Raw genomic sequence first — 25334 nt, 5'->3', positions numbered from 1 at the left:
GGAGGTTGAAGGCGGGTGCTGGTGTGTGTCTCCCAGGCAGGCGCGTAGTGCCAGGTGACACAGCTCTTTGGGGGGCTGAGTATGTAAGAGACTGGGGGAGAGGGAGGTCTGTGTGCCCCCGGGCATCACACATAGACATCTCTGTGGCATCGCACATCTGCCTGTGTGAGCAGGGGCTGGGTGCTCATGGGTGCCTGTGTGCATCTCTGTGTCTTTATCTGTGTATTTCTGAGTCTGGGTGACTTTATGAGACCGTGTCGCACTGATACTGTGACAGTCCCTGACCCCTGTGTGGGCACGGGGTGCGTTCCTGTGTGTATCTGGTGCAGGTGGGAGTACAGCATACAGGAACATGTGTGGGCCCTGGGTGTGTATTTTTGTGAGAATGTGTCTCACCAAAATACAGTGTCCCCCACTGTGGAGGAACGCAGTGTAGACGAGGATGTGCGAGGGCTGGGCCAGGGTTGCTGTGGTCTGTGTGTCACCTGTGTGTGGCCATGAGTCAACTGCAGGGTCCTCTTGGTGCAGCCAGGAGACCCATACCTAGTACGGTAAACACCAGGTGACCCGGATTGCCCTGTGTGCGGCCCTGTGTGTGTGTCTGTGTTAGAGACCATGGAGCAGGAAAGCAAGAACAAGGCTAGAAACCCCTGAGAATTCTGAGAACTTAAAGGCCACTCACAGCCCCAGCTCAGTCCAGCCTATTCTAAACACCCTCCATGAGACCCAGAATCTCCCCTCCCCACCCCCAACCCAGCTTGGTTTTCAGCCTGGCAGCTCCAGCATGAGAGGGGGTGGGGAAGGTAAGGCTGGAGACACTGAGCCAGGCAGGGACTTAGGGATCTGGTTCTAGGCCAGTGGCCTGGGAGTGGAGCCCAGGTGACGCTGGACACCCATATTTGCAGCCAAAGTGAATGCCAGAAGCTCAGGTTTAAGGACACAAAGAGGGTGACGGGTCCTACCTTGGATAGGCAGGAATGGACCCAGCACCCACTTTGAGGGCTGCCACCTTCAAGAAGCCCTCAGCAGCACCCCAGGCCTTTAGAGCCAGGAAAGGGGGTGGGGCCCCAGCCAGATCCTGGAAGCCACTTAGGGGACTCACCCAGGTAGACTCAGCACCCCCACCCCCCCAGCACAGCCAGTGCCCTTCAGTATTAAAAGAGAGGACTGACTGGCCACGGGCCACCCACCTGACAGATCTGCCCGGAGGGTGCCGACGGGTGTCCTCATCGCTGAAGGGGAAGTGGGTCAGGGACTCGGGGCCCGTGGGGGGCAGTGCCAGGGCAGGGGGCCGGGGCCGGGCCCGGGGCGCTGCACCGGAGCGCATGGGAGCCAAGCGCCGTCGTCGGGGCGCGCATGGGGACGGCGGCAGGGCGGTGTGGCGCGCGCTGCTGGCCAGGCCCAAGGTGTCTGCGGCCTCCACTGCCGGCACCGCCTCCACGCCTCTGGTGACCCCCCCAGGGACAGCCCCGGGCGGTCGAGCGTTCCCGGGTCTGCACGGGGGAGGGGAGCGCACGGGCGCTCTGTCTGCCTCCCCCTGCAGGGGTCCTGCGGAGTCGGACGCACACTTCCCCCCCCCCCCCCCGTCTCCTCCCTCCTAGGCCTCTGGGGTGCCCCGGGGCTCCGGTTTCCCGGCTCCGGGCCCGCCCTCCTGCCACCGCCTCCGGCCCCGCCTTTCCCCCCTCCCCGCCCTGACGTCGAGCTGGGCCCGCTCGAGGTCTCTGATCGCTGATCGCCGTGCGCCCCCGGGGAAACGGGACTCGAGTGTGGGGCCGGGTGACATAAACCCAGGGGAGGGGAAGGTGCAGCTCAGCGGTGGGAAGGAGAAACAAAACAGAGACAGAAGAGACAGAAGTGGAGACAGAGACGCAGGACGCAGAGAGAGAGACCCGGAGAGAAGCAACGATTTCCCTACACACACCCTGCGGACCCCACGCGGGGCTCCCAAAGGCCCTGGCCCCTCTTCCTCTTCTGTCCCCGCCCCATTTCGTTCCTGGGGCCAGTCGCTGGGCCCGGTCCTGCCCCGCCGTGCCCTCCTTCAGTCTGTGCCTCAATTGCACGTGGAAAGTAGGTGGAAGAGGGGGAGGCTGAGGACCCGGAGAAGCCCCCAGGGCCAGCCAGTGCCCAACTCCGGGCTGCCAACTTCTGCCTCCAGGATATAAGGACATTAGAAAGCCAGACTGGATGTGGCCTCGGGGCCTGTCACTCCCAGACTTCAAGCCCCCGCAGCCCACCCCGTCTGGCCAGAAAGGGAACTTCCATTTGCCCTCTGTGGCCCGGTACTAGGAGTGACACCAAGCCTCACCGCAAGGCCACCCACAGAAGGCATGACTGGCCCCATTTCACAGGCCAGTAGACTGAGGCTGACAGAACTGAACACATACCCCAGGATGAACACATGACCTGGATGGCAGGTCGCCCTCACTCCTCCAAAGCGTGACCGCAGCTTCAGGTTTGCACAGGAAGTGGGAAGGATGCAACATTTATTAAACGTCTACTGCATGCCCTATCAGAGGTCTCCAGGGCAACCCTGGCGGTCAGGGATGATTTTGATCGCTGCTATGTGACAGAAGAGGAAAGTGAGGCTGGAGAGAGTGAGCCACGAACCCTAGACCCTGGAGTGCGCCAGGTGGCCAGGGGCGACTTGAACCCACGGCCACCAGCGCTGCACTTACCCAGCCCCAGCCCAAGCCTGGCGGCCCAAATCCTGGCAGCTGCGGAGAAGCCGAAGGCGTCTGCGGAAAGTTGGGGACGGGCTGGCGAAGAAGACGGGCGAGGAGGGCGGCGAACGCGGGCGGCGGGGCGCGCGCGGGGCCAGGGGCTCGGGCAGGAACGCCTCGTCCTCAGCCGCCACCGCCACCGGGAAGGCCACCAGTTGCAGCTCCGGGATGCGGCCTAGGCCGCGCGGCCGCGCCATGGCCGCGGGGCGGCCCCGCCTCGGCGGGCGCTGGGGAGCTGCGCCGCCCACCCCGCCAGGCCCACGCAGGCCGCCTGCCCAGCCCCGGGCCCGCGGGCCCCACCCCGCCCTGTCGCCTCGGCCCTTCCGGCTTCGCGCTGGAGCCGCCCCCAGGGCGGGGCGGGTCTGGGGCGCCCGCACGGCTCTGGTGGGGACTCTCCCGCAGACCCCAAAGCCGCCCGCGTTGGCTCTAATGTCCTCACAATCGCCGGACGCGTCCCCACAAACACCAGGGACACCCCCAAATCTGTGGGGACACTCCTGCAAACTCCCCGTGGTGTTGACAGGCCCCACAAGCCCCAGGAGCCACCCCACAGTCTCTCAGAATCCCAAGGAGCACCCTCATTGTCCCTGAGACAACCCCACACAAGAAGTCCAGGGGTACCCCCCCAAATCCCGGGGCTTCTCAGCACAACTTAGAGGTGTTCTGAGACACCCTCATAAACCCTAGGGCACTCTCATAGCTCTCCAGATGCCCCCATAATCCTAGCAGTATTCTCACTGTTTCTGGGACATGCCACAAGCCCCAGGAGTGCCCTGAGAATCCCAGGGTGCATCCACAAATGCCAGGGATGCCCCCAAATCTCTGGGGGCACTCCCACAAACTCCCTGCCAGTGGTGCTCTGAGAGCCCAGGGAAAACCCTTCAGATCCCAGAACCCCCACCACAGTTCCTCAGATGTCCCAAAATTCCTCCAGAGCTCCCCATCATCCCCAACTCTCATCATCCCATCATGCATAGACCCTCCCTCAGTACCCCCAGAATCCCCCACACCCACAGAGCCATTTTCATAGACCGAATATAGGTTCCCACCAAATCCTAGAGTTCTCCACAGACCCCAGGAACACCTCCACAGTCCCTCAGATGTCCCTTAATCCCTGAATGGTTCTACAGCATCTCTGAGATGCCCCCACAAGTGCTGAGACCCCAAGACAACCTCGGGAATGCCTTCAGACTCAGGGGATGCCCTAGTAACCATGGAGATGCCAGCAAAATCTGGGGTGCCCCAATAGACCCCAGGGACACAACTAGATTCCTCTCCAGCTCCTAAGACAGTCTCACACCCTAGAACAGAATCCCAAGATGCACCCCACAGTCCTTGGGGACAACCTAGAATGCCACCCACAGCTTCTGAGATGTGTCTTACAACTCTTAAGACACCCCTAGAAGGCAGGTGTGGTGGCTCATGCCTGTAATCCCAGCACTTTGGGAGGTGAAGGTGGGCGGATCACTTGAGCCCAGGAGTTCGAGACCAGCCCAGGTGACATGGCGAGATCCCATCTCTACAAAAGATGACAAAAATTAGCAGGGCATAGTGGGATGAGCCTGTGGTCCCAGCTACTTTGGAGGCTGAGGTGGGAAGATCACCTGAGCCAAGAGGTTGAGGTTGCAGTGAGTTATGAAGGTGCCACTAAACCATCTTGAGACAGTGAGACCCTGTCTCACGAAAAAAAAGAGAAAAGAGGGTGAATCTCTATTTTCTTTTCTTTCTTTCCTTCCTCTCTTTCTTTCTTTCTTTCTTTCTTCCTTCCTTCCTTCTTTCCTTTCCTTTCCTTTCCCCTCCGTCCCTCTCTTTCTTTCTTTTCCTTTTCTCCTTCCTTTCCTTATTTTCCTTCCTTCCTTCCTTCATTTCTTCCTTCCTTTCCTTTCCTTTCCTTTCTCCTTCCTCCCTTTCCCCCTTTCTCTCTTTCTTTCTTTCTTTTTCATCAGTCTCTCACTGTCACCCAGACTGGAGTGCAGTGGCACGATCTTGGCTCACCGCAACCTCTGCTTGCTAGGTTCAAAGGATTCTCGTGCCTCAGCCTCCCAAGTAGCTGGGATTACAGGCATGTGCCACAATACCTGGCAAATTTTTCTTGTATTTTTAGTAGAAATGGGGTTTCACCATGTTGGCCAGGTTGGTCTCGAATTCCTGGCCTCAAGTGATCCACCCGTGTGAGCCACTGCGCCCAACAGTGAATCTCTATTTTCGAGTCCACCTCTGTGAAATATCCTTCCTTCTCTAGTGTTGGCTCTGATGCCATGGGGCCCAGAGTGAGGAAGCCTGGGCTTGCGTGTGGCCTCTGGCACTTCTTAGCCATTTGATCTCGGGCTAGTCACTTCATTTCATTGAGCCTCAGTTTCCCCAGTTGTAAAATGGGTATAATACTACCACTCACCCCATGGATGGACACATAAAAAGCTCAGAAAAGTGTCTGAACCTAGTAAGCACTCAATATGAGCTACAGTTATTATCAGTATTTGACAAATATTTACTGAAGGCTTATAATATGCAAATCACTATACTAGCTAGAGGGTATAGATGATGATGATAATGACGATGATGGTGATGATAGCAACTAACCCTTTAGAAAGCTTCCTGTGCATCCAGTGCCTCTAGCTATGATCTCTCTCTCTCTCTCTCTCTCAATATCTCTCTCTCTCTCTCTCTCTCTCTCTCTCTCTCTCGAGACAGGATCTCACTCTGTCATCGAGGCTGGAGTACAGTGGCACGATCATAGCTCACTGCAGTCTCAACTTCCTGCGGTCAAGTGATCCTTCAACCTCAGCTTCCTGAGCAGCTAAGTAGCTGAGTAGCATGTGCGCCACCATGCCTGACTAATTTTTTGTACTTTTTCTAGAGATGGGGTTTTCCTATGTTGCCCAGGCTGGTCTTGAGCTCCTGGACTCAAGTGATCTGCCCGCCTTGGCCTCCCAAAGTGCTGGGATTACAGGCGTGAGCCACCACACTTGGTCTTATGATCTCATTTAATCCTCACAAAGTACCCACCAGACACCCACCAGGTGATATTCTTTTTTTTTTTTTTTTTTTGACAGGGTCTCACTCTGTCACCCAGACTGCAGTGCAAGTGACATGATATTGGCTCACTGCAACCTCCACCTCCCAGGCTCAAGTGATCCGCCTCCCTCTCAGCCTCCCAAAGTGTGTTGGGCATGAGCCACTATACCTGTCCCAGAAATGCATTTTTGTTCACCGACCAAGGTTTCAATGCCCTTAGCTTCCCTGAATTGTTTTGCCAGTTCGTCAGATCAGCCCTTGGGAATACGGTTTTTACTAGGCCCATTTCAGAGACGGGGAAGCCAAGGCCCAGAGAGGAGTGACTTGGCTAGGGTCTCCCAATCTAGAAAGATCAGAGCTGGATTATGGACCCAGCTGTCTGGCTTCAGAGACAGGAATTTTAGCCATGAGGCTACACAAGCCCTTTATGGATGAGTTTCCTTCCAGCCCAATGATGCTTGTCCCGTCCTAGGAAGCCAGATGTAAACTGAGGCCTAAAGCCAACCTTGATCATGGCCTAATGGTCTATGAGCCCTTACATGAGCTGCCTGTCACCTCGCTCCCTCCTTTTTTTCCACTGCCTCCTCGCTCACTCTGCCTCAGACACACTTGCCTCCAACGTATCAGACACACTCCCACCACAGGACCTCTGCACTGGCTCTTCCCTCTGGTTGGCACCCTCTTCCATCAGACACCCATGTAGCAACCTCCCTCTTTTGTTTTTTGTTAGACGGAGTCTTGCTCTGTCACCCAGGCTGAAGTGCACTGGCACGGTCTTGGCTCACTGCAACCTCCACTTCCTGGGTTCAAGCAGTTCTCCTGCCTCAGCCTCCTGAGTAGCTGGGATTACAGGCACTTGCCACTGCGCCCAGCTAATTTTTGTATTTTTAGTAGAGATGGAGTTTCAACATCCTGGCCAGACTGGTCTTGAACTCGTGACCTCGTGATCCACCTGCCTCGGCCTCCCAAAGTGCTGGGATTACAGGTGTGAGCCACTGCGCCCGGCCCTTACCTCCCTCATTTTATTTGGGTCTTTGTTCAAATGTCACCTCCTCAGAGAGGCCTTCCCTGACCTCAGGATCCCTCTTTTTTTCATATCCTATGTGTGACCATCTTGAATTATCATACAGCTTTACTTGCTATTTCTTTTTTTTTTTTTGAGACGGAGTCTGGCTTTGTCACCCAGGCTGGAGTGAAGTGGCGCAATCTCGGCTCACTGCAACCTCCGCCTCCTGGGTTCATGCAATCCTCCTCCCACCTCAGCCTCCCAAGTAGCTGGGATTGCAGGCGTGCGCCCAGCTAATTTTTGTATTTTTAGTAGAGACAGGGTTTTGCCAGGTTTTGGCCAGGCTGGTCTCGAACTCCTGGCCTCAAGTAATCCACCTGCCTTGGCCTCCCAAAGTGCTGGGATTACAGGCCTGAGCCACCGCACCCAGCCCTTTACTTGCTATTTCTGCTTCACCCTCTAGTCTGACAATTTCAGGGCAGCAGGGAATGTGTCTATGGCAAGGGTGTGCAATCTTTTGGCATCCCTGGGCCACACTGAAAGGCGAAGAATTGTCTTGGGCCACACATAAAATACACTAACACTAACAATAGCTAATGAGAGGGAAAAAAAAAAGAATCTCATTGTTTTAAGAAAGTTTACGAATTTGTGTTGGGCCGAATTCAATGCCATCCTGGGCCACGGGTTGGACAAACTTGGTCTACAGCATTCTCAGCCACAGTTCTGAAGGCGCTCAGTGTTTGTGGAATGAACGAATCTGCTAGAAATGAGGAGACTGAGGCTCTGACAGGTGAAGGTCACACAGCGAGTCCAGGACAAAAGCTGGATTTACTTCTTTTATTTTTTTCTTTTTGTAGAGATAGGGTCTCACCATGCTGCCCAGGCTGGTCTCAAACTCCAGCCTCAGGCAATCCTCCCACATCAGCCTCCCAAAGTGCTGGGTGTGAGCCACCTCGCCTGGCCAAAAGTGGATTTGAACTCTTTTCTTTCCTTCCTTCCCTCCTTCCTTTTTTTTTTTTTTTTTTTTTTTTTTTTTGACAGGGTCTCAGTCTCTCGCCCAGACTGGAGTGCAGTGGCCCAATCTCGGCTCACCGCAACCTCCGCCTTCCAGGCTCAACCAATTCTCCTGCCTCAGCCTCACCAGTAGCTGGGATTACAGGCATGCACCACTACCACCTGGCTAATTTTTGTATTTTTAGTAGAGACGGGGTTTCACCATGTTGGCCAGACTGGTCTCAATTTCCTGACCTCAAATAATCCACCCGCCTCAGCCTCCCAAAGTGCTGGGATTACAGGCATGAGCCACCGCGCCCAGCCAGATTTGAACTCTTTCATACTCCACAATGAAAAGAGTGGGCTCAGATGCCCTCACAATTCTGTTCTCACCCTGCCAGACTGTGGCTCTCCCAGGTCCAAAGCCCCAGTTTTCCTAAAGTCATAAGAGCCTGCAGTCAATCTGTTACCAATGAAATATGGGGCACCTTCCCCACCAGCCGGGTTTGCGGTTTGGGGGACGCCCCCTTTCTCTCTGCTGATGTCATTTGAGGAAGTACTTTCTCAGAACACCAGCTCCTGGCTGCCCAGCACCTACGTCAAACATATCAGCCTCACCACAGCCCTGGGGGTGGACAGTTCTTATTTTTCAGCCCCGTTTGACTGATGAGGAAACTGAGGCTCCGAGAGGCACAAGCACTGACCCCAAGTCACACAGCGAGTCAGCGGGCAGGGCTGCCATGTGAATGTTACCCAGCGGTCTGCAGTGGAGCAGATCTGTTTTTTGTTTTTTGTTTTTTTTTTTGAGACAGGGTCTCGCTCTGCTGCCAGGCTGGAGTGCAGTGGTGCCATCTCGACTCACTGCAACCTCTGCCTCCCGGGTTCAAGCGATTCTCCTGCCTCAGCCTCCCGAGTAGCTAGGATTACAGACGTGTGCCACCATACCCGGCTAATTTTTGTATTTTTAGTAGAAACGGGGTTTCACCATGTTGGCCAGGATGATCTTGAACTCCTGACCTCATTCGTGATCCGCCCACCTCGGTCTCCCAAAGTGCTCAGATTACAGAGCCACCGCGCCTGGCCGAGATCTGGTTTTTAACTCCTATTCTCACCTTCCTCGCTGTGTGACCTTGGGCAAGTCCCATGGTCTCTGTTTCCCGGGCAGGAAGCGCAGAGCCAAGGATGCTGGGGTTCACCGGCCTGCCGGGCAAGCGCGCAGAGGCGGGACGGGAACTCCACGGCTGCAACTTTTCGGCCAGGTTCCTCCCTGTCCTCCAGACGACAGTCCCCGCAGCGTGTGGCAGGGGCTGGCGCATGGGGAAAGCGGCCTGGTCCCAAGCCCGGGAGGGCGAGGACCCCACACGCAGCCTGCGGTCAGCCGGCCTGGCGCCCGCTCTCCAGGACGCTCAATAAGCATAAAATAATAATACCGGGCGCCGCGACGGTGGCGGCGACTTTGCTTTGCTCCGGGACTGGCGGCGTCCCTGGAGCAGGTCCGCGCTCGGAGCGCACACCCAGGCTGTGCCTTCCTCGTCGTCCAGCAGAGGGCGCGCGGGGAGACCCGCTCCCAACCCACATCCAGGGACTTGGGAGCGCCAGGGACAAGGGGGAGGCGAGGACCCAAGTGGAGACAGAGACCAGCGACCAGACGGATACCCCAGCTCGGCTGCCTCCACCTGCTCCTGGGGCCACACTGTGCCCCCACCTCGATGGGGAAGTTTTAGGGCCCAGGGAGGGGGGACGCAGGGTCCGTATGTTGGCCCCGTCCCCAGTTCAGACAGCTCCCCACCCCCACCACCAAAGTCCTCCTCTTCCTCCCTCTCCATCTGCCTCTTGACAGATCGTGGCTGTGCCGTGACTCAGCCGTCTCATACATCTTCAGGTCTGGAGGGGAGGTTTGGATGACATCTCCGGTTGGGGGTGGGCAGTGCCCTCTCTCTGGGGATTCCTTTGACCCAAATCGGGGGAGCTCGCTGGACTCCTTTTGCGGTAGCTGGATGAACTCCAGTGTGGGGAGCACTGAATCCTGTATGTGCCCTGGTAAAAACCCCCTTTTTGAAGAAATGCCTGTTCTAAGCATTGAGGTTGCCATCAGACACCTTCCTCCTTTTCCCTGGGAATGGGGGAGGACCCTGGCACTGATGCCAGCTACAGCCCACCCATCAGTCCCAGCTTTGGACCTCAGCACAGACACTGAAGGGTGCACAGGCCCACAGTGAAACAGAAACCCGAGTCTACGTGGGGATGTGGTTAAGGTTCCTGTTTTTTTCTACTCACCCTGGAGAAATGGGATCCACCCAGGTCCCCCCTCCTTAGTCCAGGTCCCTGAATGGAGATCTACTGATTATGTTAAGTCCTTTACACACATCTCCAAGCTCACAGAACCCTCAAAGTGACCCCCACATGGCAGTGCCAACAAAAGCCCCACTCTACAGACTGGAAAATTAAGGCTCAGAGAGGGCAAGACACTTATACAAAGATGCACAGGAATTGGGCGGACCTGCGTTGCAATTCCAGCTCCCCCATCTCCTGGTTGTGTGAGTTTGGGTGAGAAAGAGAAAAGGTTTAGCTGGGTGCAGTGGCTCATGCCTGTAATCCCAGCACTTTGGGAGGCTAAGGGGTGGGCAGATCACCTGAGGTCAGGAGTTCGAGACCAGCCTGGCCAACATGGTGAAACCCCATCTCTACTAAAAATTCAAAAATTAGTCAGGTGTGGTGGTGGGCGCCTGTAATCCCAGCTACTCCGGAGGCTGAGGCAGGAGAATCACTTGAATCCGGAAGGCAGAGGTTGCAGTGAGCTGAGATCACGCCACTGCACTCCAGCCTGGGTGACAGAGGAGACTCTGTCAAAAAAAAAAAAAAAAAAAAAAGAGAAAGGGTTTTGTCTCTGGGCTCCAGTTTCTCCATATGCCAGCAGGAATACCCTGCTGGAATACCCAGGGCACTGGGGATGAGGATGCATATGGAAAAGTCCCTGGCATGGAGCCGGAGGGTGAGCCATTGCGAGATGGATACCCACCAAAATAATGATGATTATTACCACTCAGCCACTGTCCCCTAAGACTCAGTGCCCCAGAGACCAGGCTAGGAGGAGTCCCTGGAGCCTTGCAAAGAAATGGGGCCTGGAACCTACTTCACTTCACCCACCCCTTGGTGTCTTAGGACAGTGACCTGTGCCAGTTTGGCCCCCTGCCCCAGTTTTAGCATTTTCTGTTGATTCCAACTTTCTCTTCCTTCAGCCTCTCTCCAGTTCCCTTTGGGAAATGTCAGCCCATGTATGCTGGGCCCGTGACACTTGCTTCCTGGTGGGTAGAAGGGTGCAGGGGGACTGGGGCTGGGGGGTGATCAGAACAGAGGTGGGGGTGGCCTGGAGGGCTGCAATGACTGCTGAAGACCCCCAAAGAGACTTAGGAAGAGTAGGGCTACATCTTAGAGAGGCCTCACTCAGGAGCTCCAGGGATAAGGAGCCCAAATCTGACCGTCTTGGTGATATCCCCAGCAGTGGGGCATCCAGGTAGAGCACACGGGCAAAGCTGTCAGTTGCACACATCGCTGGAGCACAAGCAATCAGACCCTGGAGCACCATCAGAGGAGGAACAATAACTAAGAACACCAGGTGGTTAGAGGACACCAGTTCTTAGGATACACCAGGCAGAGGGAACACAGACCACATGTCAGAGCACCGACGCTCAGACGTGAGCACCTGGTGAAGACTAACACACAGCCACTGTGTTTCAATCACAGTGTCCAAGGAGCACAGACTGTTCCACGAACTCAATCACATTGTTCCCCAAGTGTAAACACCCCAGTGCCACAATCACTGCATGCCAGAAATGACACTGTCACAATCACATTGTCCCTAGACCACCAACACCATTGCACAATCACTGTCCTAGGAGCAGAAACAGTCACTCTATCCCAATCACTGCATCCCATGAGGCCACAGTCACCCTGTGACAGTCACAGCATTCTTGGAGCACACACAGTCACTGTCGCAAACCCTGTCCCAGAAACACACAGTCACACTACCCTGGAAATACACAGTCACACTGTCACAATTACACTGTCCCTGGAGGACACAGAGTCATCGTGTCACCATCACAAGACCCCAGAAGCTCACACAGAGCACACAACTGAGGTAGCCACAGCTGGTCATACCCGGACAGCTGGAGCAAACGGAGGTCAATCGGAGAATACCCTCAGAGGAGACCAAGCTCAACACACATGCACCCTCACTATGCTGTCACCTCTGCAGTCAGGGACTCCTTCCCTCTGTGCTGGGACTGCGCCCCCCCTCCACTGTTTCCTGCCTCTGAACAGCTACTTAACGCTAACACTCTTGCCCTGAGAGGGGAACTCCAATCTAACGCAAGGCTCCCAAAACAGTGCTCCCCCAAGAGGCACCCTCTGGATTTCTGACCCCAGCTGCTGCAGGAGGAGTCCACTAACATCCCCGCAATAGAGTCCTCCATCCCCTAGAAGGACCCTGAGAGCACCCCACCCTGAAGTAAAGATCCTGGTCCTAGCAGGCACCCCCTTATGGAGTGCTCCAAGAGTACCCCAAACACTGCGAATCTAGCCCTCAGTATAGTGCCCCCAGGAAGGTCCCTCCAAGTGGTTCCCAGCTTAGCAGCTGTTCTGCACTGTCACCAAGAATACAGACCCCTAAGTGTGCAGCCCCCTTCCCCAACCCAGACCTCGTTAACACCACGCGCAGCGTGGCGCCCCCTAAATGGACCCCAGGATGGGCTTCAGCAGGAAGCCTCCCGTAGAGCGCACAACCAGGGGCCAGGTCCCAGACGCCCCCGCAGCCGAATTCCCTCCGCCCCCGCCAGCCAAACCGACCCCACCCGCATCCTAGCGCCCCCTGCGGCCGGCAGCTCGAGTTGCCTCCTCCCTGCGCGCCCATCCGTTCCGCGCGCATCCGCCGCGGGGAGTCTTACCGCCTGCTGCTGCCTCCGCCCGCGCCGCCGCTGCCGGTGCCAGTGCCATGGAAGGACGAGGGCCAGGACATGCGGGTCGTGCGCAGGCCGGGCCGGTCGCTGGTGTCCATGGCATCGGCGCGCTCTATGGGCCGGTGCGGCTGCCGCTCCCGCTCGGCGCGCTCCGCGCTGTCGGAGTAGCCGCGCTGCTGGATACGGATGGGGGTCCGAGGCTGCCGCCACAGGTGCTGCGGGGGAGGCTTCAGGGTGGCCTGGCCCTCCCGGGGCCCGGGCAGTGACAGAGACAGGCTCCTTTCCGAGGGGACGGTCGGGGGTTCCATGGCGCCGGCCCCCACTTGCGCCCCAGGGGGCCCTGGCCCTTCCAACCTACACCCCGCTCAGCTGCGCGCAAGCCAGCGAGCCCAGGGCCCCGCGGGTGCGCCCGGCCGCGGTAGGGCCATGGCGCCCCGGGGACAGACCCGGGGGCGCTGCGGGCCAATCGCCCCCGGGCCGGGCTCTGCAGCTTCCTTTCGGCGCCTGGAGCTCTGCTCAGTGCCCGGCGGCGCTCTCCGCGCTCCGCGCTCCGCGTTCCGCGGCCCGCTCGGCGCCAGCCCCGGCTCCTCCGCCCCGTCCCGCCCCTCCCCGCCCCCCGCCCGCCGCGGCTGTCAGCGCCGCCCCCCTCCTCCTCCGTCCGGGCCAGCGGGGGGCAGCTACCTAAGGAGGGGGGCCCTTCCCGCCCACGCAGATCCCCGCTCCGGGCTGGGAGGGGGCGCTGGAACTCGTCTGTCTTCAAAGCACCCTGCTTGGCCGCGGCGCGCACAGGCACGAAGGAGTTAAACGGTTAATCCGATCTGGAAGCAGACACCGGACTGGTTGCCAGAGTGTCAGTCAGTCGGTCCATCATGGCGAGGGCGGAGTCCGGTGTTGGCGTGTCCTCGCCGCTACCCCTGGCGGGGGGCAGTTTTTGAGGAGTGGTCCTAGTGCCACCGGCGCGGTACCTGCAGCGGGCGGCGGCAGAGTGTGTGGGATCTCCTGTCTGTGCGTCGGAGGATAGTGATGGTGCGGGCCCGGGGCGGGATGTGCGCGCACGTGGCCTCTTCCGAGGGTTGTCTGTGTTTTCAGTGTCGGCTGGAAGTGTGTGTGCGCACGTGGTTGGCTGCTGTTGTCTGCCCGTTTCTCTGGATTTGGCTGTGTGTATAACTGTGTGTGTCTGTGGGTGAAGGATGTGTGCGCACATGTGCTACCTATTTGGAGGATGTGCATCCCTACGTGGTCTTTTTTCAGGTGGCCTGGGGACTGTGAATGTGTTCTCAAGCGCTTGGATGCGTTTGTGGTCGGTGTGTGCTTGCGGAGTTGTGCACGCGATTCGGCCTCTGTCGTCTGACTGTAGTGTCGGAGGACGTCTATGTATGTTAGTGTGTGCGTGTGCGTGAGTGTATGTGTGTGGTCGGCCTGGGGCCTCTGGGGTGTTTCTGGGGTGTGTCCCATTGGTTCCCTTGTGGCTCCAGGAAGACACCCTGTGGCGGATACCGCAGCTGCCGGCCCACCGCTCTATACATCGCTGCCTCTTCTAAAGCGCTTCTGCCAGAGGTAAACTGAGGAAGGTCCCAGGTAGCCGCGGAGCGCACCCCCGTGCCCTTTTCAGGCGAGTAAACAGGCGAGCCTCCTCCCTGCGGCCCCCGCCAGCAGAGCCCCCCTTCCGGCACCTAAATCGGGAGTCGCCGTGACTCACGCTCCCGCCTCCCCCAGCGCCGCGCCGAGCGAGCAAGCAGAGAGCGAGCGGGATCCGAGTGCGCCCCCATCCCCCTCAACCCCCCCAAGGATGGCTGCTGGGCGGGGGGAGTGCACGCGCCCGCGTGTCCCACCGCCCCCCCCCCCCACGCCGATAAGAGCTCGAACGCGAAACTGCTCTGCTGCGGGACCCGGGGACCAGACCCCTGCCCCCGTGCGCCCCCTGTCACGGGCTCCCCAGGGCACGCGATGCCGTTTGCCACCGCCCTCCCCCCGCGCCCTTCTCCTTATTTGAAAAAAAAAAAAAAAAAAAAAAAAGACTGCCGGTCTTCAACCCCCACAGCCACTTTTCTCCCCGCCAGAGGGGGCTCCCGGCGTGGGCGAACGCCGAGCAAAAACCGGCCCCCCCATCAGCAGCCGCCGGGTATTCCAAGGGCCAAAACTGTGTTCCCCACTTCTCTCAGGAACACCCCCCCCATTACACACTCAAAACGGCTTCTAGGGAATTTGCAGGGGCTGTGAGTTCTCCCCAGATCATATTTGAGAGTCCTGGGCTGGGCCAAATTCTTGGCGGGGTATGCTGTAACGTTGGTTAGAGATCTGGAAGCGGGTGGGAGTGCGTAATGTGAGGTGGGTGGGGGTGTCAGGACACAGCTGGGGTTGCAGAAGAAGGAGGAAACGAGGAGCGGTGGCCTGAGCTGGGGGATAAACTGATCTGGACCTGAGGCTAGTGGGATGGGCGTGGAGAGGTATAATTAAGCAGCTCCAGGGGCGAGAGACAGTCACTTGCTCTCCCTATCTGGAAATGAACCATTGGACCATGACGGAAACAGAGACCCTGGAACCCTCCAATTGAGTAGATGGGGGTGGGGGTGGATTGGAACTGCCGAAAGCGGTGACCAGAGGAGGGCATGGGGGCAGGGGCCGGCCAGAAGCCAGGACCAGCTCAGCTGTCTGACTTTCCAGCTCATTCTTGAGCCAAGAGGGGGGTTGAGTACTCTGGGAAACTGGTTGGGTACCTGGAAGGTCCCCAGATGAGAATCAGCAGGAGGTGCTGTGTGAACCCAGAGCTCGCAGATATTTCTCACATCTCCCCAGGAGAAAGAAAAATACTAGTCCAGACCCCTTCCAAGACTCCACCATCCCCTTCAAGGCGGAGAAGAAACCTGATCCTCCCAGGCGGGGACATGAAAGCCGGTGCACAGCCGCCTGATCAACCTGCCCCAGCTCTGTGAATATGGGAGCATCTTGGGGGCTGGAGACATGACACCCCTTTCCTCAGTCCTGCCCCTTGCTGACTCAGGCAGCTGGAAAATGAAATAAGGGGTTCCTAGAGCCTGCGAAGGGTGCCTTGGGGTAGGGGTGTCACAGCCCGCCACAGGACAAGTTGCAGCTAGTTTTGCAAACGGCAGGGAGCATGGAGATCGGGAAGGGCTGGTGGCTGGACCTAGCCCAGTTGGCACTGTGCCTCCCCAACCCACCTCCCACTCTGCTCCCTCTCCTACCTACCTGTCGTTCTCGGCCCTGGTGATGGAAATCCGCGGTGGGATCAGCAGCGGCAGGGTGGTGGGCCGTGGCGGCAGAGGGACCCCAGGGTCCGAGGGCTCAGGCTGGGCCCAGCCCAGGCCAGGACCGGACGAGAGGCGGCGGCGAGGGCGACGCAGGTCGGCCCCCAGCATGTTGGCACGGTCGGATTCGGGGGTCTCCCTCGACCTCTGGGGAGGGACAAAGTGGAATAGGGGCGTGGCCTGGCTGGGAAGCTCTGAGCCCCTCTCCCCAAGAACACCCCTACCTAGCTGTCTAAGGGAGTAGTTAATGGCGGTATAGGCTCCCCTTCACGTGTGAGCCACTCGCTGACCCCTCACACAGAGGGTGCCCTGCCATCCCTTAGGTCTGAGAGTGCCCCTTCTCAGCCATAATTTTTGTGGGGTCCCCTCTCGATGCCCCAGCCTTGGGGTCTGTCACATCTAGACATTCTGTCTCAAGTGTGAGACCTCTCTAACACATCACCTTTTTAGGGTCTCTTCCCAACCTCCACGTCTAAGAGGGCCCCTCTTGGTCTTAATGTCAATGCCCCCCTCCCATCCCTCACATCTGAGACTCTCAAGACCTCACCACCCCTAGCGCCCCCTCCCACCTCCTCGCCAAAATCCTCTCCTCATTTGAGAAGCCTTTGCCTGCTGTCCCTGGGCCGGCTGAGAGCCTCTTAGGGCAGCAGGAGAAAAAATGGAATCAAGGGGGTAAACTGAGGCACGAGGGGACCAAACTCCTCACAGCTTGGAGGTAGTGAAGCCACGTTCAGGAAATAGCCGTGGTCACTAGAGGGCGCTAGTCTCCCCCAAGGGGCGAAGCCCCGCCCCTAGCCCAAGCCCCTCCTCTCGCACCTCGTCCCCGGTCCCTGCCACGGACAGGGCACTGCGACTCCTCTTCATCTCGCCAACCTAGCGCGCCGTTGGGACTGCGGTGGCCATGTCGGCAGGGCCAGGGCCTCCTACAAGACCAAGCCAAACGCATCTGCCATCAGTGCCCCAGGGCTCCCCCTGCCGGTCGGGCCTAGAACCCGCCCCCGCCACTTGCCTATTGCCTCTCCTGGGGCGTGACGTCAGCGGACTGACGCACCACCAATGTGGTGACGTCGCCCCCGTTGCCAGGGCGACAGCTGACGCACGGCTGGGCTCCTGACGGCGTCAATGCCGGGGTTGGCCACTGGGGGGCCGAGAGCCTCCGGGCCCGGGTCGCCCCAGCCCCCACCCTTCCTCCCGCGGGGGCTTCCCCGGCTCGGGGATCCCGCAGAAAAAACTGGGAGCTCCCAGAGCTGGCCGCGTGCGGCGCGTGGTCCGAGCCGGGGGCCGGAGGAAGCGTCTCCTCCGAGCTGTTGGGCTTTTAAGCCTTAAACCCGAAATAGCTCCGATGTGCGGGGGCCGGGCGCAGAGAGACGGCGGCTTGGGCACAGATGGGGGACGCACAGGCAGAGGCGCGTGGAGACAGACAGGGACGTGTGGAAATAGAAACAGACAGACAGGGACACAGACGCCGTTCCCGAAGACGGGTGCGCTCTGCAGCCACCGATCCTTGTCTGAAATGCTTGGGGGAGGGAGAGGCTGGCTTACTTTACCTTGGCACCCAGGCGCTGAAGATTATTGCTGTGCGGCCATGGGTCAGTGTCTTAAACTCTGTGAGCCTCAGTTTCTTTTCTGTGAAATGGAATGATATTCCCTACAGGGTCCATGTGAGAATGAAATGAGATCAAACCATATTGAACAGAATAGTGTCTGGCACTCAGTAAATATTTAATAAATGGTAACATCTGACCCTGTGGGAGCCTGTTAGAACTCGATTCAGATCATGATCTTCCTCTACTCAGAGCCCTAATAGCTCTTACCTCACTCAGAGGAAACGTCAAAGTCCTCGCGTGGCCCACACAGTCCTGCTAGATAACGCCCAGTCACCTTCCTGCCCTCAGCTCCAGCCACACTGGTCTAGCTGTTTCTGGACACAGCAAGCATGCTGGTGCCTCAGGCCCTTTGCACTTTCAGTTCTGTCCACCTGGAACTCTTCCCCCAAATATCCGCAGGTTGGCCAGATGCGGTGGCTCAGGCCTGTAATCCCAGCACTATGGAAGGCCAAAGCAGGTGGATCACTTGAGGTCAGGAGTTCGAGACCAGCCTGGCCAACATGGTGAAACCCCATTTCTACTAAAAATACAAAAATCAGCCGTGCGTGGTGGCAGGCGCCTGTAGTTCCACCTACTTGGGAGGGTGAGGCAGGAGACTGGCTTGAGCCTGGGAGGTGGAGGTTGCAGTGAGCCGAGATCGGGCCACTGCACTCCAGCCTGGGCAACAGATCGAGACTCCATCTCAAAAAAAAAAAAAAAAAAAATCCGCAGGTCCCTTACCTCTTTTAGGTCTTTGCTTATATCTCATCCTTTCAGGCATTTCTTTCTTTCTTACCCCACCCCCACTTAAAATTATAATACAACCTCCTAGGACTTCTGGTCCCCCTTTTCCCGCTCTTCCCCCCTCATACCACACTATGTAATTTGTTTATTACATTTATTGTCTGTGTCTCCTCACACTGGAATATTAGCTGCAGGAGGGCACGAAAACTTTGTTTAATTATTATGTTAACAATAATGTAGTATTATTCTTTACTATCTCCTGAGCGTCCTGAACAGAATCCGGAACATAATAGGCTTTTAATAACCTGTTCAATGTCAGGTTATTATTGAGAGCCTGATAGTGTAATGTTCCTAACAGTTCTACTGTGTACTAGCTGGTTTATCCCCTACTTTGGTTCTTTTGTTTCTACTTTTTAAATAGAGACTGGGGTCTCACTATGTTACCCAGGCTGGTCTCAAACTCCTGAGCTCAAACTAAAGCTCAAACTCAAAGTGCTGGAATTACAGGTGTGAGCCATCACACCCAGCCTAGTTCTCATTTCTTTATTTTTTTTAATATTTATTTATTTATTTATTTATTTGAGACAGGGTCTCACTCTGTTGCCCAGGCTGGAGTGCAGTGGCACCATTGCACAGCTCACTGCAGCCTCGACCTCCCAGGCTCAGGCTATCCTCCCACCTCAGCCTCCAGAGTAGCAGCTGGTACTACAGGCACGCGCCATCATGCCTGGCTAATTTTTGTTTTTGTTGTTTTGTAGAGATGGGGTCTTGCCATGTTGCCCAGGCTGGTCTCAAACTCCTGGACTAAAGTGCTCCTCACACCTCAGCCTCCCAAAGTGCTGGGATTACATGAACCCATGTTCATGCTGGGCATGAACCACTATGCTCAGTCTGGTTCTTATTTCTTTTTCTTGCCTTATTGCCTTAGCTAGCACTTCAGTTCAATGTAAATTAATGGAAACTAATGTAAACATCATTTCTTCAACCTAGCCTTTAGCACCTGGTGGGCCCTCAACAGACATTTGTTGAACAAATGGATGAATGTATAAAGATAGCTTAGGCCAGGCACGGTGGCTCACGCCTGTAATCCCAGCACTTTGGGAGGCCGAGACAGGCGGATCACGAGGTCAGGAGATCGAGACCATCCTGGCTAACACGGTGAAACCCCACCTCTAGTAAAAATACAAAAAATTAGCCGGGCCCGGGGGCGGGCGCCTGTAGTCCCAGCTGCTCGGGAGGCTGAGGCAGGAGAATGGCGTGAACCCGGGAGGCAGAGCTTGCAGTGAGCTGAGATCATGCTACTGCACTGCAGCCTGGGTGACCTGGGTGACAGAGCGAGACTCCATCTCAAAAAAAAAAAAAGATAGCTTAAAGGTCACCTCCATTTTTCAGCCAGACTGCCCCAGTCCATGTTCTGGGCCCCCACTGCAGGTTTTTCTACCCCCATTAAAGCACTCACCACTCTGATTGTAACCTGTATTCTCCAGCAAACAGAGCAAGAAATGGTACCCATTCATTGTGGCCCTCAGCCTCGACCTCCTGGGCTAAAGCAGTCCTCCCATCTCAGCCTCCTGAGTAGCTGGGATTACAGGCACACACCACCATGCCCAGCTAATTTTTGTTTTTTGGGTTTTTGTTTGTTTGTTGTTTTGTTTGTTTTTTTGAGACAGAATCTTGCACTGTCGCCCGAGCTGAAGTGCAATGGCACAATCTCGGCTCACTGCAACCTCTGCCTCCCGGGTTCAAGTGATTCTCCTGCCTCAGCCTCCTGAGTAGCTGGGATTACAGGCACCTGCCACCACGCCTGGCTAATTTTTTGTATTTTTAATAGAGACGGGGTTTCACTATGTTGGTCAGGCTGATCTCAAATTCCTGACCTCATGATCCACCTGCCTTGGCCTCCCAAAGTGCTAGAATTACAGGCGTGAGCCACCATGCCTGGCCTTAATTTTTGTATTTTTTGTAGTGATAGAGTTTCACCATGTTGCCTAGGCTGGTCTGGAACTCCTGGGCTCAAGCAAACCTCCCACCTCGACCTCCCAAAGTGCTGGGATTACAAGCATGGGCCACCATGCCTGGCCTAAAAAGTAAACATGTTTTAATAAAAAAAAAAAGAGAGAGAAAGAAGCTGCAGCAAGTTACCCAGAAGAAATCTAGCTAAAATTATTGATGAAGGTGGCTACAATCAACAACAAATTGTTCAGTGTAGACAAAATAGTCTTTTTTTTTTTTTTTGAGATGGAGTGTCGCTCTGTTGCCCAGGCTGGAGTGCAGTGGCGCGATCTTGGCTCACTGCAAGCTCCACCTCCTGGGTTCACGCCATTCTCCTGCCTCAGCCTCCCAAGTAGCTGGGACTACAGGCACCTGCCACCATGCCCGGCTAATTTTTTTTTTTTTTTGTATTTTTAGTAAAGATAGGGTTTCACTGTGTTAGCCAGGATGGTCTCGATCTCCTGACCTCATGATCCGCCCACCTCAGCCCCCCGAAGTGCTGGGATTACAAGCGTGAGCCACAGCTCCTGGTCTATTTTTTTTTTTTTTTTTTCTGAGTCAGAGTCAGGGGGATGGGAAGAGCCTGTTGCTCAGACTGGAGTGCAATGGCAAGATTGCAGCTTACTGCAACCTCCGCCTCCCAGGTCAAGCGATTCTCATGCCTCAGCCTCCGGAGTAGCTGGGATTACAGGTGCGTGCCACCACGCCTACCTAATTTTTTGTATTTTTATAGAGACGGGGTTTCACCATGTTGCCCCGTCTGGTTTCTAATTCCTAGGATTATAGGCGTGAACCACGGCGCCTGCCCAACAAAATAGTCTTCTATTGGAAGTAGATGCCAACTAGGACTTTCACCCTAGAGAGAAGTGAAGTCAATGACTGGCTTCAAAGGACAGCCTGACTCTTGTTAAGGGCTAATGCAGCTGGTGGCTTTCGGTTGAAACCAATTCTCATTTACTATTCTGAAAATCCTGGGGACCTTTAGAATGATGTTAAGTGTACTTGGCCTCTGAGCTATAAATAGAACAACAAAGCCTGGGTGACAGCACATCTGTTTACTGAATATTTTAAGCCAACAGTTGAGACTTCCTGTGCAGAAAAAAGTTTCATTTCAAAATATGACTGCTCATTGTCAATGCAACTGGTCACCCAAGAGCTCTGATGGAGATGTACAAGGAGATGTTTTCATGCCTGCTAACACAGCGTCCATTCTGCAGCCCACTGATCAAGGAGTACATTTGACTTTCAAGTATTATTATTATTATCTTATTTATTTATTTATTTTGAGACTGAGTCTTGCTCTGTCACTCAGGCTAGAGTGCAATGGTGCCATCTCAGCTCACTGCAACCTCTGCCTCCTGGGTTCAAGAGATTCTCCTGCTTCAGCCTCTCAAGTAGCTGGGATTACAGGTGCCCACCACCACGCTAGGCTAATTTTTGTATATTTAGTAGAGACGGGGTTGTACCATGTTGGCCAGGCTGGTCTTGAACTCCTGACCTCAAGTGATCCACCTGCCTCGGCCTCCCAAAGTGTTGGGATTACAGGCATGAGCCACCACCGCCCGACCTGTTCTCCTATTTTTAAAAATTGCCACAACCACCCCAACCTTCAGCAACCACCACCCTCATCAGTCAGAAGCCATCAACATTGAGGCAGGACCCTCCACCAGGAAAAAGATTATGACTTGCCGAAGGCTCAGATGATGGTTAGCTTTTCTTAGCAAGAAAGGTTTTTTTGTTTTTGTTTTTGGTTTTTTTTCAAACAGGGTCTCACTCTATCGCTCAGGCTGGAGTACAGTGGCGTGATCTTGGCTCACTGCAATCTCCGCCTCCGGGGTTTAAGCGATTCTCCTGCCTCGGCCTCTGGAGTAGCTGGGACTACAGGCGTGCACCACCATGCCCAGCTAATTTTTGTATTTTTTGGTAGAGATGGGGTTTCACCATGTTGGCCAGGCTGGTGTCAAACCCTTGGGCTCAAGTGATCTGCCCGCCTCAGCCAAAGTGCTGGGATTATAAGCATGAGCCACCACACCCGGGCAGCAATAAAGTTTTTAAGGTTTTTCTGTTTTGTTTTTGAGACAGGGTCTCACTCCGTTGCACAGGCTGGAGTGCAGTGCTGTGATCATAGCACACTGCAGCCTTGTCCTCCTGGGCTCAAGCTATCCTCTCACCTCAGCCTCCCAAGTAGCTGGGACCACAGGTGAGCACCAACATGCCCAGCTAATTTTTAAATTTTTTTCGTAGAAATGAGGTCTCACTATGTTGACCAGGCTAATAAAGTATTTTAAAATTAAGGTATATGCATTGTTGTTTTAGACATAATGCTATTGCATACTTAATATACATATGGTATAGTGTCAGCATAATTTTTACATGCACTAGGAAACCAAAAATTTTTTGTATCACTTTATTGTGATACTCGCTTTATTGTGGTAGTCTAGAACTCAACTCACAGTATCTCTCAGCTCTGTCTGTATACTTTAGAGCAAATTACTCAGCCTCTCTGGCCCTCAGTTTTGTCATCTGTAAAATAGGAATAATATTCACACCCATCTGATGGGGTTGTTGTGAGGATGAAGTGAAGTAATGCACGTGAATTTATTTCTGTTCCCCTTTTTTTTTTTAAATTGAGACAGTCTCGTTCTGTTGCCAGGCTAGAGTGCAGTGGCACAATCTCAGCTCACTGCAACCTCTGCCTCCTGAGTTCAAGTGATTCTCCTGCCTCAGCCTCCCAAGTAGCTGGGACTACAGGTGCACACCACCACACCCAGCTAATTTTTGTACTTTTAGTAGAGACGGGGTTTCACCATGTTGGCCAGGATAGTCTCAATCTCTTGACCTCATGATCTGCCCGCCTCAGCCTCCCAAAGTGCTGGGATTACAGGAGTAAGCCACCGTGCTCGGCCTATTTTCATTTTGTTAAGAGACAAGGGTCTTACTCTGTTGCCCAGGCTGGAGTGCAGTGATGTTATCACACCTCACTGTAGCCTTAAACGCCTGGGCTCAAGTGATCCTCTCGCCTCGGCTTCTCAAGTAGCTGGGACTACAGGTGAGCACCACAACGCCCAGTTAATTTTTAAATTTTTTGTAGAGAGGGTGTCTTGCCATGTTGCCCAGGCAGGTCTGGAATTCCTTGGCTCAGGTGATCCTCCTGCCTCAGCCTCCCAAAGTGCTGGGATTACAGGCGTGAGCCACCATGTCTGGCCAACCCACCAGCCCCTTTGTTGTTCTTCAAACACCTAGAACATATTCAGACCTCAGATATCCTGTTGCTTTTCCCATCCCCCTGACTCTGCTTGTGTTTTCTTTTTCTTTTTCTTTCTTTTTTTTTTTCCTTGAGACGGAGTCTCGCTTTGTTGCCCAGGCTGGAGTGCAGTGGCGCGATCTCAGCTCACTGCAACCTCCGCCTCCCAGGTTCACGCCATTCTGCTGCCTCAACCTCCCGGGTTCATACCATTCTCCTGCCTCAGCCTCCCGAGTAGCTGGGACTACAGGCGCCTGCCACCACTCCCAGCTAATTTTTTGGTTTTTTTTTTAGTAGAGACGGGGTTTCAGCATGTTAGCCAGGATGGTCTCGATTTCCTGACCTCGTGATCCACCCACCTCGGCCTCCCAAAGTGCTGGGATTACAGGCGTGAGTCACCGCTCCCAGCCCTGCTTGTGTTTTCTTTGCCTTAGACTTATAATTTTTTTCTTTTTTTGAGACAGAGTTTAGCTCTTGTCATCCAGGCTGGAGTGCAATGGTGTGATCTCGACTCACTGCAACCTCCGCCTCCAGGGTTCAAATGATTCTCCTGCCTCAGCCTCCTGAGTAGCTGGGATTACAGGCGCCTGCCACCACGCGCAGTTAATTTTTGCATTTTCAGTAGAGACGGGGTTTCGCCATGTTGGCCAGGCTGGTCTCAAACTCCTGGCCTCAAGCAATTCCCCTGCCTTAGCTTCTCAAAGTGTTGGGATTACAGGCGTGAGCCACTGCGCCCGGCCTATTGTTTGTAATCTTGAAGAGGAACCCTGCGTGTGCATTTTCCCTAGGCTCTGCAAATTCTGTTGCTCAAAGTCTCAAGGATTTGTGAAATGAAGAAAGCAATGAAGAAGACGATGTTGGAGGGGTCCAGCCGGCCAGGCGAGAGAGGCAGAGACATGCCCCTTACTGCTGTCAGGACACAAGTGCACATTTGCGGCAATCAGCCCTGGCTGCAGCCCAGGCGAGGGAGGCAGGGCCCGGGAGTGCTCAGGGTGGAGGGATGCCTCTAGGCCTGCCTTCTCCTTCCCTGGACAGCAGGCCGCTGGAGATGGGGGTCCAGATGGCAGCACAGGCTGCTCTGGACAGCTGGCATCAGGCTCAGGCCACGAGAGTCCTTTTCCCCCACCCATGTTGTCAGCACCGTCAGCTACCAGCCCAGCCTGGGAGCCACTGGCCTGGCCTGGCAGAGGAGAGCTGATGTCACCCAGCCCGACATCCCGCCCACTCCCCACTTCCTTCAACAGAAGGATGTGGCGATGTGCAGCAAATAACAGGGAAGTGAGAATAAAAGCCCCTGCCCACACCATGGCCCTGAATATTCACGGCTGCCCAAGCTCCATGCTCAAAGCTGACGCAGGTCTCGGAAGGATTGTGAAGGACTCCAGGCATGTGTGTGCAAATACATGCATATATGTGCATGAACTTCATACCTGGCTGTGCATGTGCCAATGGGCTGGTGGAACCTTCTGTGAGTCTAAGTGTTGCATAGTTGAAACCGAATTGTACCCGCAGGAATCTATGTGTCAGGGCAATACCACATCGGTCTATGTGAATAAGAGGTTGGCTGTGCCTGTGTGACTGTAATATGAATGTGTAGGTGTGTGGGGGTGTCACTGTGTGAAGATGCAGCGGAAAACAGTATTTCACAGTGCCTAGAAATGCAGGTTCCGGGGGCTGGGCGCAGTAGCTCACGCCTATATTCCCAGCACTTTGGGAGGCCAAGGCAGGGGAATCGCTTGAGGCCAGCAGTTTGAGACCAGTGAGGGCAACATAGCGACACCCCATCTCTTTTCTTTTCTTTTTTGAGGCAGGT

At 55.3% G+C, this 25334-nt stretch overlaps 1 protein-coding gene across 11 annotated transcripts in view, besides 17 other annotated features; it reads right to left on the bottom strand.

Annotated features, from left to right (window-relative positions):
• The window catches only part of PDE4A (phosphodiesterase 4A), a 52859-nt gene extending 35870 nt beyond the window's left edge, over positions 1 to 16989 (bottom strand). For 3 of the 11 annotated variants that reach the window (XM_011528055.4, XM_017026865.3, NM_001111307.2), the window contains exon 1: positions 12678 to 13224. In XM_011528055.4, coding sequence (XP_011526357.1) covers positions 12678 to 12997 — 320 coding nt within the window. In that variant the 5' untranslated portion in view covers positions 12998 to 13224. Of the gene's footprint in view, positions 1 to 1190; positions 1328 to 2675; positions 2918 to 12677; positions 13225 to 15896; positions 16103 to 16771; positions 16879 to 16964 lie in introns of those variants that run through there. The other 8 variants (XM_047438913.1, NM_001111308.1, XM_047438911.1 and 5 more) reach the window with 4 other exon arrangements.
• Positions 519 to 1201: an enhancer, noted in NCBI's record as "H3K27ac-H3K4me1 hESC enhancer chr19:10543237-10543919 (GRCh37/hg19 assembly coordinates)". NCBI's record gives its function as "activates a minimal SCP1, AML or CMV promoter by ChIP-STARR-seq in naive H9 embryonic stem cells {active_cell/tissue: H9 hESC(naive)}" and the evidence as "EXISTENCE:reporter gene assay evidence [ECO:0000049][PMID:30033119]".
• Positions 1201 to 1520: a silencer, noted in NCBI's record as "silent region_10074". NCBI's record gives its function as "represses an Ori minimal core promoter by ATAC-STARR-seq in GM12878 lymphoblastoid cells {active_cell/tissue: GM12878}" and the evidence as "EXISTENCE:reporter gene assay evidence [ECO:0000049][PMID:35858748]".
• Positions 1201 to 1885: a biological region, named in NCBI's record as "H3K27ac-H3K4me1 hESC enhancer GRCh37_chr19:10542553-10543236".
• Positions 1202 to 1885: an enhancer, noted in NCBI's record as "H3K27ac-H3K4me1 hESC enhancer chr19:10542553-10543236 (GRCh37/hg19 assembly coordinates)". NCBI's record gives its function as "activates a minimal SCP1, AML or CMV promoter by ChIP-STARR-seq in naive H9 embryonic stem cells {active_cell/tissue: H9 hESC(naive)}" and the evidence as "EXISTENCE:reporter gene assay evidence [ECO:0000049][PMID:30033119]".
• Positions 1541 to 1700: a silencer, noted in NCBI's record as "silent region_10073". NCBI's record gives its function as "represses an Ori minimal core promoter by ATAC-STARR-seq in GM12878 lymphoblastoid cells {active_cell/tissue: GM12878}" and the evidence as "EXISTENCE:reporter gene assay evidence [ECO:0000049][PMID:35858748]".
• Positions 2881 to 3150: a silencer, noted in NCBI's record as "silent region_10072". NCBI's record gives its function as "represses an Ori minimal core promoter by ATAC-STARR-seq in GM12878 lymphoblastoid cells {active_cell/tissue: GM12878}" and the evidence as "EXISTENCE:reporter gene assay evidence [ECO:0000049][PMID:35858748]".
• Positions 5353 to 5422: a silencer, noted in NCBI's record as "silent region_10071". NCBI's record gives its function as "represses an Ori minimal core promoter by ATAC-STARR-seq in GM12878 lymphoblastoid cells {active_cell/tissue: GM12878}" and the evidence as "EXISTENCE:reporter gene assay evidence [ECO:0000049][PMID:35858748]".
• Positions 7914 to 7993: an enhancer, noted in NCBI's record as "active region_13969". NCBI's record gives its function as "activates an Ori minimal core promoter by ATAC-STARR-seq in GM12878 lymphoblastoid cells {active_cell/tissue: GM12878}" and the evidence as "EXISTENCE:reporter gene assay evidence [ECO:0000049][PMID:35858748]".
• Positions 12182 to 12371: an enhancer, noted in NCBI's record as "active region_13968". NCBI's record gives its function as "activates an Ori minimal core promoter by ATAC-STARR-seq in GM12878 lymphoblastoid cells {active_cell/tissue: GM12878}" and the evidence as "EXISTENCE:reporter gene assay evidence [ECO:0000049][PMID:35858748]".
• Positions 12582 to 12631: a silencer, noted in NCBI's record as "silent region_10070". NCBI's record gives its function as "represses an Ori minimal core promoter by ATAC-STARR-seq in GM12878 lymphoblastoid cells {active_cell/tissue: GM12878}" and the evidence as "EXISTENCE:reporter gene assay evidence [ECO:0000049][PMID:35858748]".
• Positions 12862 to 13331: a silencer, noted in NCBI's record as "silent region_10069". NCBI's record gives its function as "represses an Ori minimal core promoter by ATAC-STARR-seq in GM12878 lymphoblastoid cells {active_cell/tissue: GM12878}" and the evidence as "EXISTENCE:reporter gene assay evidence [ECO:0000049][PMID:35858748]".
• Positions 13552 to 14431: an enhancer, noted in NCBI's record as "H3K4me1 hESC enhancer chr19:10530007-10530886 (GRCh37/hg19 assembly coordinates)". NCBI's record gives its function as "activates a minimal SCP1, AML or CMV promoter by ChIP-STARR-seq in naive H9 embryonic stem cells {active_cell/tissue: H9 hESC(naive)}" and the evidence as "EXISTENCE:reporter gene assay evidence [ECO:0000049][PMID:30033119]".
• Positions 15425 to 15975: an enhancer, noted in NCBI's record as "H3K27ac-H3K4me1 hESC enhancer chr19:10528463-10529013 (GRCh37/hg19 assembly coordinates)". NCBI's record gives its function as "activates a minimal SCP1, AML or CMV promoter by ChIP-STARR-seq in primed H9 embryonic stem cells {active_cell/tissue: H9 hESC(primed)}" and the evidence as "EXISTENCE:reporter gene assay evidence [ECO:0000049][PMID:30033119]".
• Positions 15976 to 16527: an enhancer, noted in NCBI's record as "H3K27ac-H3K4me1 hESC enhancer chr19:10527911-10528462 (GRCh37/hg19 assembly coordinates)". NCBI's record gives its function as "activates a minimal SCP1, AML or CMV promoter by ChIP-STARR-seq in naive H9 embryonic stem cells {active_cell/tissue: H9 hESC(naive)}" and the evidence as "EXISTENCE:reporter gene assay evidence [ECO:0000049][PMID:30033119]".
• Positions 16830 to 16949: an enhancer, noted in NCBI's record as "active region_13967". NCBI's record gives its function as "activates an Ori minimal core promoter by ATAC-STARR-seq in GM12878 lymphoblastoid cells {active_cell/tissue: GM12878}" and the evidence as "EXISTENCE:reporter gene assay evidence [ECO:0000049][PMID:35858748]".
• Positions 17050 to 17319: a silencer, noted in NCBI's record as "silent region_10068". NCBI's record gives its function as "represses an Ori minimal core promoter by ATAC-STARR-seq in GM12878 lymphoblastoid cells {active_cell/tissue: GM12878}" and the evidence as "EXISTENCE:reporter gene assay evidence [ECO:0000049][PMID:35858748]".
• Positions 24582 to 24691: an enhancer, noted in NCBI's record as "active region_13966". NCBI's record gives its function as "activates an Ori minimal core promoter by ATAC-STARR-seq in GM12878 lymphoblastoid cells {active_cell/tissue: GM12878}" and the evidence as "EXISTENCE:reporter gene assay evidence [ECO:0000049][PMID:35858748]".

Source organism: Homo sapiens, chromosome 19, assembly GCF_000001405.40.
Source record: "Homo sapiens chromosome 19, GRCh38.p14 Primary Assembly".
Lineage (NCBI taxonomy): Eukaryota > Metazoa > Chordata > Mammalia > Primates > Hominidae > Homo > Homo sapiens.
The sequence above is the reverse complement of the archived record's forward strand: the minus strand, read 5'-3'. Positions and strand labels throughout refer to the sequence as shown.